Source organism: Homo sapiens, chromosome 2, assembly GCF_000001405.40.
Source record: "Homo sapiens chromosome 2, GRCh38.p14 Primary Assembly".
NCBI lineage: Eukaryota > Metazoa > Chordata > Mammalia > Primates > Hominidae > Homo > Homo sapiens.
The window spans coordinates 230533908-230551128 of NC_000002.12; the positions used below are offsets into that span (position 1 = coordinate 230533908).

The following is a 17221-nucleotide window of genomic DNA, read 5'->3' on the forward strand; positions in this document are numbered from 1 at the left end:
ACTTTTAATATTAGTAATACACTATACAAAGGTGAAATTTGGTTTTCTCTTTTGAACAAAATTTTCATATGAGAGCTAATGAAATATTTTTATTTACCTTTTGAATAACTACAGGGTGCAAAAAAAGGAGGAAAAAGACATTTAGGTGGCCTCATGCTGTCTTTATTAGGTTTCATTGTTTGGGAAACTGAGTCTACTCCCTAGAAAAGGGTAAATGTCAGCGGGTGCGGTGGCTCACGCCTGTAATCCCAGCACTTTGGGAGGCTGAGGTGGGTGGATCAGGAGGTCAGGAGATTGAGACCATCCTGGCTAACATGGTGAAACTCCATCTCTACTGAAATACAAAAAATTAGCCGGGCGTGGTGGTGGGCACCTGTAGTCCCAGCTACTCGGGAGGCTGAGGCAGGAGAATGGCATGAACCCAGGAGGCGGAGGTTGCAGTGAGCTGAGATTGCACCAGTGCATTCCAGCCTGGGTGACAGAGCGAGACTCCGTCTCAAAAAAAAGAGAAGTCTTAGCTAAATCAATGACTACTTTACAGTGACCTGTGATCCTATTTTGTAATATCAAATGTCTTAAAACTTTGATATTTGACAGACTTTCCAAGAGTAAAAATTTCAAGTTCTAAATTCGGCCTTTTTGACCTCAAACTAACTTATTTGCACATTAGGTTCCCTGAAGTTCAAGAGAGACATACTAGACTTATTGACTTATTTGTTACATTAGAATTATGCAGAAAGCGTTGTCACATCTGAGGTGGTGGTCAACTTCTTTTGGGTTATATTTATATAGATGTGTTGTTAATATGTGTTCCAGGATTGTATGATTCTTGCATGTTTTAATATATGCCATCAGTAATAATTATGCTTATTATGTTGAATTGTTATATGTCACAGAAATAACCAAATTTCCTCATCAACTGTGTCTTTAACTATGGCTTGCTTAAGAGTTTTGACATCCACTATTGTTATTTTGCATTGATTCTTCTCAAAAAGTAACATATAATCAGCCGGGCATGGTGGCTCACGCCTGTAATCCCAGCACTTTGGGAGGCCAAGACGGGTGGATCACAAGGTCAGGAGTTCGAGACCACCCTGGCCAAGATGGTGAAACCCCGTCTCTACTAAAAATAAAAAAAATTAGCCGGGCATGGTGGCAGGCACCTGTAGTCCCAGCTACTCGGGAGTCTGAGGCAGGAGAATTCCTTGAACCTGGGAGGTGGAGGTTGCAGTGAGCCGAGATTGTGCCACTGCACTCTAGCCTGGGCGACAGAGTGAGACTCCATCTCAAAAAAAAAAAAGTATCTTATAATCAGCTACAGTCCATGGTTTGCTTCTTTGGGGGAGTTCATGAAAAGGACTTTTGAATGTAGGTTTCTGATGACTTTGGAGGTTGTTTCATTAGATTAGAGAGAGAAAACGTCCAAGAAACTAACTGAAAAACTGATACATTCATAAAATTTACTAACCTAATATGAAGCAGAGCAGGAGTTAGTTGCCTACACTGAACAAATGGAGGCCAGAAATAATTTCTTATGGATTTTTTTTGTTTGAAACATTGCTGCCTTTAACAATTGAGAGGAGCATTACTCTTGTAAACTAAGTTTGAGGCATATTTCTCTCTCTCTCTGCCTAATTTCTCCAGAATTCATAAACTATTTGTGAATATTATTAATTCATGGCAATGTGTTTGCGTATGTTTAATAAGAATCTGTTTTCTGCTGGGTGTGTTGGCTCATGCCTGTAATCCTAGCACTTTGGGAGGCCAAGGCAGGTGGATCACTTGAGGTCAGGGGTTTGAGTCCAGCCTGCCAACATGGTGAAACCCCGTCTCTACTAAAAATACAAAAATTAGCCAGGAGTGGTGGTGCATGCCTGTCGTCCCAGCTACTCGGGAGGCTGAGGCAGGAGGATCACTTGAACCTGGGAGGTGGAGGCTGCAGGGAGCCAAGATCATGCCACTCCACTCCAGCCTGGGTGACAGAGCAAGACTCCATCTCAAAAAAAAAAAAAAAAAAAAAAAAAAAAAGAATATGTTTTCTTTTATAATGAGACACAGTTGGAGGAACTGGTCATTTTCCCAGGGCTTTGACTGAAATGGCCTTGTGAGAGGTTCCAGCAAAGCCAGTTTAAGATAGCCTACATGGACAATGGTTCTTGCTGCACTTTGTGTGGGCAAATAAGCCAAGTATATGGGACTGAAGCTTATTTGGCAGGTAGGTTGGTCCTGCTGTGATTTGTCTTTAGTGGAAGTGGGAGACTGGAGAGAAAAAGAGTGTGTTTCAGAAGAAACCTATAGTATTCAGTTAACTTTTGATTTTTGGGTGGCTATGTGGGTCACCCATGGTATGGATTTGCCCACGACACTCCTCATCAGCATGAAACAGCCAGAAAGATTGACAACCAGTTCCCCATGATTGAGGAATTGATAAACAGAAAAGGGGCACTGAAATGAACCCAATTGTCCCATAAATCTGATTTTTACAGTTTATTTTGAATAAACATAGAAATTGACCCTCTCAGTCTTAAAACTTGAGAGAGTTACATTTGTCTTATCTGAGTTCTTTCTCAGGAAACCAACCGTCAGACCCCCACATAACATCAAGGGACTGAAACTCACCAGATTACTGTATTTGGACAATGAGATGCCAAACTCCTCACCCCTTATGACTGCCTAACCAATAATCTCCTTCCTGTTAACCAATTCCTCCTTACCACTCCCTAATTCCTGCTTCCCTGAATATAGATACATTTCTGCTATATAAACCCCTAACTTTAGTGAGTCAGGGAGACAGATTTCAGACTGATCTCTCATCCCCTTGGCTGCAGCACCCGACTAAAGCCTTCTTGCTTGGCAATACTCATTGTCTCAGTGATTGGCTTTCTGCGTGGCAAGCAGCAGGACCTAAACTGAACCCCTGGTATTTCAATAACAAAATCATGGGTGACTTCCCTGTCTAAACAAAGTCACATTTTGATTCTTTTCATTGCAATGAGATGAGCATTTTAGGCAGGGTCAGCCTTTTGCACAACTGCAAGGAGCACCTTTTGCTGTAAGAATGCCATGTAAGCTAGGCACAGTGATTCATGCCTGCAATCCTAGCACTTTGGGAGGCTGAGGCAAGAGGATCACTTGAACCCATGAGTTTGAGACCAGCCTGGGCAACATGGCAAAACCCCACCTCCACAAAAAATACCAAAAATTAGTCAGGCATGGTGGGACACACCTGTAGTCCCAGCTACTCCAGGGGCTGAGGTGGTAGGATTACTTAAGTCCAGGAAGTTGAGGCTGCAGTGAGCTGTGATCGCACCACTGCACTCCAGCCGAGGTGACAGAGTGAGACCCTGTCTCAAAACAAAAATGCCATGCAGCTGGACTGGTACAGGACACTAATTGAGAGGGGATAGAAAAGAAGTTGCCATGCCCTCTATTTTCTTAGCCAATGCTCTTCCCTAGCAAGATCTAGATCAATCCACACTGTTTCTGTTTCTTTGCTGGAGGTGAGACCCTTCAGTAGTCAAACAGCTCTCATCTCTGGGGTCTGCATAACTTGTTTGATGACTAAGGGAGACCCATAGGGCCATTTCTTACAGCCCACAGCCAAGCCCTCTGTGAAGAGGAAAAGGCAACTCTTCCAGCAAGGAAGTCCTCACCCCTTTTCAAAAACTTTCCTAGACAAACTTGTAGGCTGTTAATGACTCTAGTTATGACCTCCCAGCCCTTACTCAGGAGAAACCACTTTGTAATGTGGGTTTTCAACCTTGGCTGCACGTTGCAATCACCTGGGGATCCCCCGCAACCGCCTGACAAAGATTCTGATGTTATTGGTCTGAGGTGCTGCCTGAGAATTGGTGTTTCCAAAGCTCCTCTGGTGTTTTGTGTTTTTCTAGCACAAGAAAAGTTGTGAGTCACTGTAGTGCAATACAGTTCGATCACAATTGCCACAATTGTGTAGGGTCCATCAGAACCACCTGAAGGGCTTCATAGACCACAGCTGGCTAGGAGCTACCCCTAGGCTTCTGATTCAGCAAGTGAGAGGCAGAGCCCAAGGCTGTATATTTCTAACAAGTTCCAGGTGCTGCTGCTGCTGGTCCAGAGACCACTGCATTAGAGGCCAGAGTTCTCAACTATTGACTGCACATTAGAACCATCTGGACAATATTTAAGACATACTGATGCCTATACACCAACCCAGACTAACTGAATCAAAATCTCTGGTAATGGGGCTCCAGAGATGTTTTTTAATGCTCCCAGGGGATTCTACTGTAGAGCAAGTTGAGAACCACTTGTAAGCAAAAGAAAAAAATTCTTACTAAAAAGGTTAAAGAGACATACACCAAGTTTGCAGGCTTTCTAGACAATGGAACTTCAAACATAGGATTTGCCTGTGGTATTTATTCTTTCTTGGGGCCCACTTGCAGTGTACTTTATAGGATGATGTATCAGAAACCTTGACCCAGCAGCCTAAAAATAGTGGTCAGCATCGATGAGTCTCATCTGTTACAACAAAAAGGAAAAACAGTTACAAGGCCCCACTCCAGGGGAAGCTCAGGCACCCCCCTTGGAGATGTGCCCAAGAAATGGCTCCTAATAGGCCACTCAAATTCTGCCATTGAAAGGGAACACATGGGCAAGATATATCTTGCAGCCTAGAATTGTTTTTATTTATGTGACTTTAGTCTCTTCTTTGTATAGTGACTTTGTAGAGGAAGAGAAATTACAACACCTTACATGCCTAAGTCATGGGGACTCTTCCTCCAGGTTCCCAGAGCAAAAAGCAAAAAGCCCTGTACTCCCTGGTGCCCACCTGGTCATCTTGCCCACGGTTTTTCCATCCCAGAGGTACTGCTGCAGGCCCAGAGCCCTCCAGGAAAAGAACTGACATCTAGGAACTCCTCCCCCAAGCCCTTTCTTCAACTCATTCTTGCTATGACAAGAGTGTGGGTTGCAGTGATATCTCAGAAGTTTATTCCATCATATTAAATTCTCAGTAAATCACCCTTTGGCAAGTCAGTTTAAAGGATACGATGTAGACAGCTAGAAAAGACACTATTTCTGGGCCAGGTTTTCCCAGCTGTTTAATAAATTGCTCAAAAAATCTCTAATTCATCCTATTTTTGTCACTAGTCATCATGTCAGAATCTCTGGTTTCATAAAGAAAACTTTTCTGGCCTGACACACAGCCACTATCTACTGAACTTTGCCGCAGACCAAAATGTCTTCTGAGATCTCCACTCAGCAATCTTTAATATTTTGAGGACAGAAATTTACAAGTGTGCCCTTGATACATAAAAAGGTCACATATTCTAGGGTCCAAGGGTCTCACTGATCCCGGTGATGTCTACATCTCCCCTTCTAGCCGGAAAACTCAAATATATGTGAGGTGTGCAACAAATGGGGACGGCTGTTCTGCTGCGACACTTGTCCAAGATCCTTTCATGAGCACTGCCACATCCCATCCGTGGAAGCTAACAAGTGAGTAAGACATGTCCCCTTCCCTGAGCCCTTCCTTCTTGTGGTACAGCTCCTCCTGCCACTCATGAGTACTCTGCAGAGTTTCTGTACCTGGTTATGTGTTTCTTGATGCATAAGGAGCAGGCTCCTTAGCATCAAGATCCACAAGTATTATCCAGAGCTGTTGAACAGTGCTGGTAGCAGCAGATTAATGGGAAGCAAAAACTCTTCAAGTGGTTATTGAGTGCAATAGTAAGAGGTGTCAACTTCTACCTCCCCTACTTGGCTCCCAGACCCATGCTCTCTAATGGGGTGATGCCATCATACACTGCCTGCTGGTTTAAAGAGTACACCACCTGCTGTGGGACCATCACACAGCTGGTAAAGCCAGTGCTGCAGCAGTCTATCAAGCCAACTGACCCTGGGTCACAGGTCACATGTTGAGACCTGTGAATTCTGCAAGTGTGAGTCCCCTGCTCACTTCCTTTGCTAAAAAATGTGCCTTTGGACAGAGGTGATGGTGTGCAGGATACCACGGAGATTGATAAGGTGCTCTGTGAGTGGTGTGTGGACAGAATTGTTAAGGCTGAGAGGATGATCTCTACCGGGAATGTGTCTGACTCTATGAGGGCAGAGCATTGCCCTTCCATAATGGAGGAGGCTAATGTGACCCACCTGCTCCCAGGGTGTCATCTCAGGGGATCAGCATAAACCTCTGCTTTTGACCAGTTGGCCAATCTGCAGAGGCAGAAGAAAAACCAGCTTTTTGGTTGAGCCCTTGTATAGCCCCTATCTCTGCACCAGAGATGCAAAGTGCTCTCAAAGGAGCACTTTGTAACAGGCTCCTTGAGCAAGCACTACATGGCCAAGGGGATGCTGGCATCACTAGGATGGGTCATTGTGCTTGCCTGATTATCAAAAGCCTCCTAGCACAGACAGCCTAGTAGAGAAGGTTGGAGAATGAATCTAGGAACAAATGAAAGATATCTGACACCTCTCTGGAGATTTCCTTTTCAAGAAGTTTCTGCAGCACAGATTCTAGGTATAAGATATGGCAGGGCCAAGGGAGAGGATGCCTATAGCCTGTGCTCTCTGCTTACTCAGCAAAGTTGAGAAACAAGAACTTGTTTTCTGATTTTTCTGTGATCTGATTGACTCATAGAGGCCCAACACTTTGTGCTTAAGGTACTCATTTCCATTAACTGTAGCAAACCGTGCTCATTATCAAGTTCCCAGTGGCTCAGATGGAAACCCTAAGTTTTGAGGTGAATGAGATTCTGTCACTCATGGGGCACTTCAGCCAACAGATGATCACCCCTGCTATCACTATTGGTGGGAGGGCATGCCTTTGGCTATTGAGTCCAAATGGGGCTCTAGTGCAGAGGCCTCCAAGAGAGAAGTTGGATACAAGGTGGAAACCACTAGGCATTCTTGAGCAGAGGACTTGAACAACTGTAGGAATGGCGGCTGATTCACAGAACCTGCCATTGCTCACTTTATGCCCCATCTCTCAGGAACCCGTGGAGTTGCATCTTCTGCAGGATAAAGACTATTCAGGAAAGATGCCCAGAAAGCCAATCAGGTCATCAGGAATCTGAAGTCCTGATGAGGCAGATGCTGCCTGAGGAGCAGTTGGTGAGTAAAAATGTGAACCTGAAGCCTCTTCCTTTCTGTTCACCTGGGCAGGAGAAGCACAGTCTTACAAAGTGCTCAAGGAATGGAGCCCAAAAGCAAACTGCTGGCCTATGGTGTGCTTTGCTCCATGACCTAACGCTACAATTCATATTCCAAAGAAAAATCCCGGTCCAAAGAAACTCCCCATGCCATGTTTGTTTCAAAGAGTCCACAGGTTTGGGAGTCGTGTGTTCTCTTTGGGCAAGCATATGAGCTCTTTCTCTCTAAATTGCATTTAATTTGAAATGGCCTCCATCTTTTGCAGAAATGTGAATTCCTCCTCTTGAAGGTCTACTGTGATTCGAAAAGCTGCTTTTTCGCCTCAGAACCGTATTATGTAAGTAACAGCCAAACAAAAATGCTTATACTGGCATTTGTCAAATCTGTGATCTGAATCCCATGGCACAAGGTGCCATTCTATTTGGCTTGTTGATGAGTTTTTAGTTCAGGCTACTATAGAAATTTATCATAGATTAGGTGGCTTAAACAGCAGAAATGTTTTTCTCACGGTCCCGGAGGCTGCATGTCCAAGATCAGGGTGTCAGTAGGGTCCGGTTCTGGAGAGGGCTGTCTTCTAGGTGTCAGAGACGACACAGGGTTGCTCCCTGTGTTCTTGAGTGGCAGAAAGAGAAGGAGAGAACTCTCCAGAGTCTCTTTTATAAGAGCCCTAATCCTATTCATGAGGGCTCCACCCTTCTTACCTCATGACCTCCCAAAGGTCCCACCTCCTAGTACCTTCACAGGGGGGTTAGGATTTTGACCTATGGATTGGGGGAACTCCACAAACCTTTATTCCATAATAGTGGGAGTCTATGGCACTGGGCTGATAGCCTCATTTTGGTCTTTTACTCAACAGAACAGAGAGGGGTCTCAGGGCCCACAGAAGCCCATGTGGTTAAACAAAGTCAAGACAAGTTTGAATGAGCAGATGTACACCCGAGTAGAAGGGTTTGTGCAGGACATGCGTCTCATCTTTCATAACCACAAGGAATTTTACAGGGTGAGTGGCTCTCCCTGCTTCCTTTTCTCTTTCAATTACATCACTTTAAAGTCACTTTCCCTGTCATCTTTTCATGTCAGGTAAATGTTACAATCGCCCTTATCATATGACAAGCCCATACAAGTACAAATCCTGGAAGTATCCTAAAAGCCCTGTAGTGCATGTGGAGAAAATAACAACAAACTGGAAGGTGCCATTGCAAACATGGTCCTATATATAACCTCAGAGTTGACTCATTTCTAGATGGTTTGTTTTCACCCATAGAGAACAGTAGGCTGCAGACTCATTTGTTTCTACTGGAAATAGAAGTGCACTTTAAAGGCATTTAAAGTGTTTCTCTTCTCTAGAGGAAGATACCAAATCAAAGGTCTCAAATGTCAAAATATTGAATTTCTTTACATCTGAACTTCCTGGCACTATTTCAGAAATTAATAAGGATTATGTCAAGGGGTGAGAGTAAAGGGAAAAGGAAGACATTATTAAATGGCCTTAAACATTTCTGTACTATCATAAGGTTACTCAGAAAATGCTGTGCATAAAAATCACACAAGTAGAATTTTTAAAAGTTAAATTAATCCATAAGCTTTTGATCAGAAATTAGATTTCAGTGTAGTAGTATTTTGACTTGTCTTCCAGATAAAGATAAATAATTAAATTATCAAGGAACATAAGCAACTCAAGTAGATTAATTCTCACTTAACATTTGGGATAACCTAAAATGAGGCCCCAGATTATCTGCAACACTGGGTGTCTCAGCTCATTGCATAACTGCTATATTGTTTTTTTCTTTGCTTTTTTAGGAAGATAAATTCACCAGACTGGGAATTCAAGTACAGGACATCTTTGAGAAGAATTTCAGAAACATTTTTGCAATTCAGGAAACAAGCAAGAACATTATAATGTTTATTTAGCCATTCTTATCTCCTCCCTTCAGATCCTCTGGCAGCTAGCTACGCAATGTGCCTGTGGTCCCACTAATCTGTGACTGCTCCTGTGGAAACTCCACATCACAATTCTCCAAAATTTATCATTGCCATTTTAAAACCGTCTTTTCAGCTTTCAATAAAATTCAACACCCCTTCATGTTAAAAATTCTCAATAAGCTAGGTATTGAGGAACATATCCCAAAATAATAAGAGCCATTTATGACAAACCCACAGACAACATTATATGGAATGCGCAAAAGAAGCATTCCCCTTGAAAACAAGCACAAGACAAGGATTCCCTCTCTCACCACTCCTATTCAACAAAGTATTGGAAGTCCTGGTCAGAGCAGTCAGGAAGCAGAAAAAAATAAAGGGTATCTAAATAGGCAAAGAGGAAGTCAAACTATCCCTGTTTGCACACAACATTGATTCTATATCTAGAAAACCCCCTAGTCTCAGCCCAGAAGCTCCTTCTGCTGATAAACAATTTCAGAGATGTTTCAGAATACAAAATTAGTATATGAAAATTACTAGTATTCCTATACACCAGCAATAGCCAAGCCAAGAGCCAAATCAGGAAGGCAATCTCATTCACAATTGCCACTAAAAGAATAAAATACCTAGGAATACAGCTAATCAGGGAGGTGAGAGAGTTCTACAATGAGAATTACGAAACACTGCTCAAAGAGATTGGAGATGACACAAACAAATGGAAAAACATCCCATGCTCCTGTGTAGAAACAGTCAATATCATTAAAATGACCATACTGCCCAAAGCAGTTTACAGGTTCAATGTTATTCCTATCAAACCACCAATGACATTCTTCACAGAACTAGATAAAACTATTTTAAAATTCATACAGAACCAAAAAAGAGCCCAAATAGCCAAGGCAATCCTAAGCAAAAAGAACAAAGCTGAAGGCATCACGTTACCCCACTTCAAACTATATTACAGGGCTTCAGTAACCAAAACAGCATGGTACTGGTACCAAAAAAAAAGCCACATAGACCAATGGAACAGAACGAAGAGCACAGAATAAGACCACACTCCTATGACCATCTGATCGTCGATAAAAACAAGCAATGGGAAAAAGACTCCCTATTTTATAAATGGTGCTGGGATAACTGGGATAGAAGATTGAAGCTAGACCTCTTCCTTACACCATATACAAAAATCAACTCAAGATCAATTAAAGACTTAATGTAAAATCAAAAACTATGAAGACTCTGGAAGACAACCTAGGCAATACCATCCTGGACATAGGAACAGGCAAAGATTTCATGATAAAGACAAAAGCAATAGCAACAAAAGCAAAATTTGACAAATGGGATCTAATTAAACTTAAGAGATTCTGCACAGCAAAAGAAACAATCAACAGAGTAAACAGACAACCTACAAAATGGGAGAAAATATTTGCACACTATGCATCTGACAAAGGTCTAATAGCCAGCTTCTATAGGGAACTTAAACAAATTTACAAGACAAAAAGAAATAACCCCATTAAAAAGTGGGCAAAGGACATGAAAGACACTTTTTTTTTTTAAGATGGAGTTTCACTCTTGTTGCCCAGGCCAGAGTGCAATGGCGTGATCTTGGCTCACCACAACCTCTGCCTCCCGGGTTCAAGCAATTCTCCTGCCTCAGCCTCCCAGGTGGCTGGGATTACAGGCATGCACCACCTGACTGATTTTGTATTTTAGTAGAGACGGGGTTTCTCCACATTGGTCAGGCTGGTCTTGAACTCCCGACCTCAGGTGATCCACCCACCTCGGCCTCCCAAAGTGCTGGGATTACAGGCATCAGCCACCATGCCCGGATGAAAAGACACTTTCCAAAAGAAGATACACATGCGGCCAACAAGCATGTTTTAAAAGCTCAATATCACTGATCGTTAGAGACATGCAAATTAAAACTACAATGAGACACCATCTCACACCAGTCAAAATGCCTCTTTCTAAAAAGTCAAAAAATAACAGCTAGTAAGGTTGTGGAGAAAAGGGAACATTTATACACTATTGATGGGAGTGTAAATTAGTTCAACCACTGTGGAAAGCAGTGTGGCAACTCCTCATAGTGCTAAAAGCAGAACTGCCATTCCACCCAGCAATCCCATTACTGGGTACATACCCAGAGGAATATAAATCATTCTACCATAAAGACACATGCATGCAAATGTCCACTGCAGCACTATTCACAATAGCAAAGATACAGAATCAACCTAAGTGCCCATCAGTAACAGATTGGATAAAGAAAATATGGTACACATACACCATGGAATAGTATGCAGCCATAAGAAACAATGAGATCATGTCTCAGGAACATGGATAGAGCTGGAGGCTATTATCCTTAGCAAACTAATTCAGGAACAGAAAACCAAATACCACAGGTTCTCAGTTGTGAGTGGGAGCTAAATGATGAGAACTCATGAACACAATGAAGGGAACAGACACTAGGGTCTACTTGAGGGTGGAGGATGGGAAGAGGGAGAGGAGCAGAAAAAGTACCTATTGGTGATGAAGTACTCTGTACAACAAACCCGTGACAAGAGTTTCCCTATATAACAAACCTTCACATATACCCCTGAACCTAAAAGTTTTTTTAATTGTAAATAAATGGATCATTAAAAAAAATTTTAATAATAAAATTGTCTTATCAAGTTCTCTTATTGAATAATTTGGAACGAAACTTACAACTGATAACATAAAGTCTTTCTATAAAGGATCATATTATATCTTCCCAATTATTCAGTTTTGTATTTTTTGTTGTTGCCGTGAAAGCAATCTTTTCCCATTGAATTTTATTACTGATTATTGCCTATTACACAAAGCTACTGTTATTTATACGTAATTTTGTCACTGATTACCATACTGAATACTAGATGGTATCATTTTCACCTTTTACCCAGTGGCATCAGGAAGCCTGTGGTGGCTACATAGCACCTCCAACTTTCAATTCATGGAATCGTATTCGGTTTAGGGGATGGAAGCATTCCTCCATTGAGCACTAAAATCTCGGACAATTCTTTTTTTTTTTTTTGAGATGGAGTCTCACTCTGTAGCCCAGGCTGGAGGGCAGTGGCACAATCTCAGCTCACTGCAAGCTCTGCCTCCTGGGTTCACGCCATTCTCCTGCCTCAGCCTCCCAAGTAGCTGGGACTACAGGTGCCTGCCACCACGGCCGGCTAATTTTTTGTATATTTAGTAGAGACGGGGTTTCACCATGTTGGCCAGGATGGTCTCGATCTCTTGACCTCGTGATCCACCCACCTCGGCCTCCCAAAGTGCTGGGATTACAGGCGTGAGCCACCACGCGTGGCCAGACAATTCTTGGTTCTGTTGGAAAATGATTCTGCCAGGGCACCCTGGTGTATTTGCATGTGTAAAAGAGGAAAAAATAATTTTCCCACTACCCTTCTAAGTTTCCCCTACCCAGATCCTCTGGGGCCCCTGTAACAAAAGACAGATTAACAAGAGAAAAACAGAAGTTTATTAGCATATATATATATATATATACACACACACACACACACATATATGTATACACACATGTATATACATACATATATGTATACACATATGTATATGCATATATGTGTGTGTGTATATATGAGAGATACTCAGAGAGATGAATAACTCTCAAAGAGGTGGCTGAGAGATATATAAAGAGATATATAAAGAGATATATAAAGAGATGTAAATCACCTCCATGATCATCACAATAGATTCTTACAGAGGCCAGGTGAGAAATAGAGAACTAGCCTAAGTCAGCCTCATGGTGTGTCCTTTGGCTTCATAAACAGACCTTGCAATTTTTTCTCCAGTCCCTGTGTATATAATTTTAATGACTGCACTTAGGAACTAGCAGAACCCTCATTGGTTCACTAGCTTGTGACATAATATCCATTGTAGTAGGAAAAGCAAAGTGGAGACCCTTGAAATTGCCATCCCCCAAGCAAAAATATGGAATTGCAGGGATTAGCACTCTCAAAGACCTAAAAAATATCAACTGGCCTCTGTAATATCTCCATTCAATTCACCTGTATGTCCTCTGTTAAAAACAAAATAAAACAAACCGATGGGTCACATAGATGACAGGGAACATTTAACCCTATAATAGCCCAATTGCAACTGGTGTGCCAAATATGATAGTATTACTAGAACACAACAACATACCTTTTGGCACTTCGTATCCAGCTACTGATATGGCAAAAAACATTTCTTTCAATCCCTATTAGTAAAGAGTTTACTTTTACATTGAAAAGACAGGAATACATATTCATATCCCCAGGGCTATGTTAACTGTTGTTTTCTGCTACAAAGTTTTCCTGAAGGACCTTGTTCTCAGAGACATTCCATAGAACCCATAGAACATCATACTTTCCACTATATGGGCCTGGTGTGCAGGTAAGGACAAGTGACTTCACCTTGTCTCATGGGGATCTATGGCAACAGCTAATATGCCATGATGTTCCTAGAAGTGAGATAGGTAGGCAGCCATAAAGAATGTTTCTTCACCAATATAACTAGAAAAAAATCAAGAGCTGGACAACTTGGTAAATGAATGAGTTGGCCAAGTATACATCTTCAACAGGTTACAGGAGGCTCTATAAATATTCCTGAAGGGAGATCACACACATGCACGCAGGTTAAATAAATACATATGTTACATATGACCCATGTTCACTTTGGGGTGGAGATAACATTAAAATGCAGTAAAATTAGGCTCCATATGTCAAAAGGTGAAACAGAACATAAAGGTGCTATGTGCACAGCCTCCATAACCTTGCCAGAACCAGTCTGTGGACAGTGGTCATTTATCAGGAAGGAATGATTTGTAAGTTGGTCAACTGTTATGTTGAAATCTTGAAAAGGGAGGGGAGTCTGCCAACAGTGTCAGGCCATTGGTTGAAACCAGCAGAGAAGTCTTCCATTCTTCGTTTTCCAGGGCTAGTTTCTGTTTATCTCTTAGAGAATAAAAGTGGCGAACAGCAGGGACGACAACAGTTCTCCTGTCCTACCTCTTCAGGTTTGTGAAAGGAAAATAAATCTTGGAACCCCAAACTCATTAAGCCAAAGTGAAAAGTTAAGCTGAGATCTGGGTCATGCAAACCTGCCTCATCTTTTGGTTCCTAAATAAAATGGCTACAAGATGAAAAGCTACACGCCTCCCCCGTATTTTTCCCACAAGGAAATTCCTAGTGAGCTCCAACAACTTTACCCTAAGGTATTTCTGTTAAAATTTCACCATGGCAGGCCAGGCATGGTGGCTCACGCCTGTAATCCGAACACTTTGGGAGGCCAAGGCAGGCGGATCACTTGATGTCAGGAGTTCAAGACCAGCCTGGCCTACATGGTGAAACCCTGTCTCTACTAAACATACAAAAATTAGTCTGGTCGGGCATGGTGGCAGGGGCCTATAGTCCCAGCTACTTGGGAGGCTGAGGCTAGAGAATAGCTTGAACCCAGGAGGGAGAGGTTGCAGTGAGATCGTGCCACTGCACTCCAGCCTGGGTGACAGAGAGAAACTCTGTCTCAAAAAAAAATTTCACCATGGCAATGTAAATTGATAGCTTATCCTTACAGGTGCAGTCACCTCCCTGCCCACCAGACACAAATGCATATCTGATTGTTTCCCTGCCCCATTTTGTCTATGTCATCTTACATTAAAAAAATGCAGATTCACTGAGCCAGAAAAAGGCATGAATTTTTTCCTACCCTATTTTTTCCTACCCTCTCTTACATGAAAACTGTGTACTTCTCAATAGCCCATCCTTTCCCCTTTAAATTTGGAGCCCTCAAAATCATCTTCGGAGAAAGGCATAGACCTCCTGGGCACACGTCCTTAATTTTGACAAGTAAACCTCCTAAAATGATTGAAACTTGTCTTGTCATTTTTCTCGATTGGCAGGTTGTTGGAGTGATAGTGTTAGATTTTAGTTGCAAACATGCTTTGGAAAATCACTTATAATAAGCCAATATCACGCTGGAGGATATCTTTCAACAGCGATAATTAAAATTTTTGAGTGGCTGATTGAAAGATTATCTTTCTAGCCGTAATTAAATAAAGTGAACATTTTGTCTAAAATGGCTCCTTCAAGTTTTTGACTAATAAAAAAGTATAGCTATCTGTGTTCTATAGAACATTGTAGACAGCAGATGGTAGAGATCATTATATACCCAGCCTAGGCAACATGGCAAAAGTCCATCTCTACTAAAAATACAAAGAATTATCTGGGTATGGTGGTGCTTGCCTGTAGTTGCCATTACTTGGCAGTCTGAGGCGGGAGAATCACTTGAGCCCAGGAGGCAGAGGCTGCAGTGAGCTGTGATCACGCCACTGCACTCCAGCTAGGGCAACAGAGTGAGACCTCGTCTTGAAGATTTAAAAAATTTAAAAAAGAAATCATTATATACATTCAATTTATAGGCATAGAGAATGTTTTGCCTCATCTTTTCTCAAGAAGATAAATATATGACTACATATATTCGGTCCATAAAGCCCATCTATTAAGTGAAAACTTCACATTTCTTGTCTCCCTGCATTTTAAAAGTGAAGGTAAAGAAAATGTAGAAAATAGAATCCCAGGTTAAAGTGACCCCATTGCAAGAACAGTATCTCTGGGAATAAACTGACAATCCACAGCTGGCAGTCTGAGGTGGGAGAGTCACTATGTTCCAGTCACTATTACCAGAAATTGAGAGCAATTCATCCGCATGGAGCATCTTCACTCAGTCTGGCTCCCCTCTTACACCTTCCTCTTGTTCCTGTTTTCCCTTCCCACTTGTCCTTACATGTTTATTATACATCTGCCTCTGTTTCACCATGAAGACTTTGGAAGCCACGTGTCAAAGAAAGCAGGACTCCCATCAGCCAGAATCCCTAAATGGCTGTGTGACTCAAAGAACCCTGACAACCAGCAACCACCTTATCCTGATAATGTGAGCAAGAAATAATCTCCTTCTTGTGTTTGAGCCAATAAACACTTTGGGACCTATTTCTGACAACAGTTACCCTACTTGACGTACAAAAAAAAAAGCTTGTATTGGAAGAGGATGCCATACAAAAACCTGAAATACAGGCCATTGGCTTCATGATTCAGTAACAGGCAGTGAAGGTAGAGAAAATGTAGAAAATAGAATCCAAAGTTAAAGTGAATCCATATCAGAGGAAACATAGCAAAGGCTGGAAAGATTATGCAGCAGCAAATCAGGAAAGGAAGGGGAAAATGAGGTGAAAATTGCTAGCTGCTCACCAAAACCCAGTTTCCCCTCTTTTCCCGGAACACATAGCTGAACTATCTTTTTAAGGCTTCTTTGCAGTGAGGTAGGACCATTCGCCTCAGTTCTAGCCAAAGAAGTATGCACAAAGGTGATGTGCTTGCTGTATTTCTTTCACAAATTCAACACCAATCCCCAGGTGACCTCAGGAGCCATGGGATGAGAATGCCAAAGCCTCTATCAGCCTAGGTCCTCACCTAGGTCCCCAACTGACTGTGTGTGAAAAAGCCACCCAATATTCTGCCTCCAACATTTCTTTTTTTTGAGACAGGGTCTGGCTCTGCTGCCCAGGCTGGGGTGCAGTGGTGCAATCACAGCTCACTGCAACTTCCACATGCCGGGCTCAAGTGATCCTCTCACCTCAGCTTCCCAAGTAGGTGGGACTACAGGTGCACACCACCATGCCCAGCTAATTTTTGTATTTTTTAAAGAGATGGGATTTCACCATGTTGCCCAGGATGGTCTCGAATTCCTGAATTCAAGCAACTAGACTGCCTTGGCCTCCCAAAGTGCTGGGATTTCATGCATGAGCCATCACACCTGGCCTGTAACCTTCTTAGACTTTTTATATAAGTGAGGCATAAAGTTCTACATGTTTGAGCCACAGTGGGAAGGAGATTATTTGTTAAAGCAGAGAGCTTCCTCTAACTAATTAAAATATGCTATATATTATATACAGAATTTAAGTAGGAAGATAAAATATGGATCATTTATATTTAAACATTTTTCAATTGGGAAAAATAAATAAAATAATTAGAATGAACTCTTTGTAAACCAGTAGTAACATCATGAGTTTATAATTGCTTACATTTTTTCCAAACATGTCCTCCCATAGAAGATATGTTTCAACTATTCATAGAATCTAGAATAGAGGAAATAAAAAGGCAAA

General features: G+C 42.0%; 1 protein-coding gene across 1 annotated transcript in view; it reads left to right on the forward strand.

The window, feature by feature from the left end:
- SP100 (SP100 nuclear antigen) overlaps window positions 1–11699 on the forward strand; it is a 129406-nt gene extending 117707 nt beyond the window's left edge. The window contains exons 25-29 of the mRNA NM_001080391.2: window positions 5360–5475; window positions 6969–7089; window positions 7394–7465; window positions 7985–8128; window positions 8929–11699. Of these exons, the coding sequence (NP_001073860.1) occupies window positions 5360–5475; window positions 6969–7089; window positions 7394–7465; window positions 7985–8128; window positions 8929–9039 (564 nt within the window). The 3' untranslated portion in view covers window positions 9040–11699. The remainder of the gene's footprint in view (window positions 1–5359; window positions 5476–6968; window positions 7090–7393; window positions 7466–7984; window positions 8129–8928) is intronic.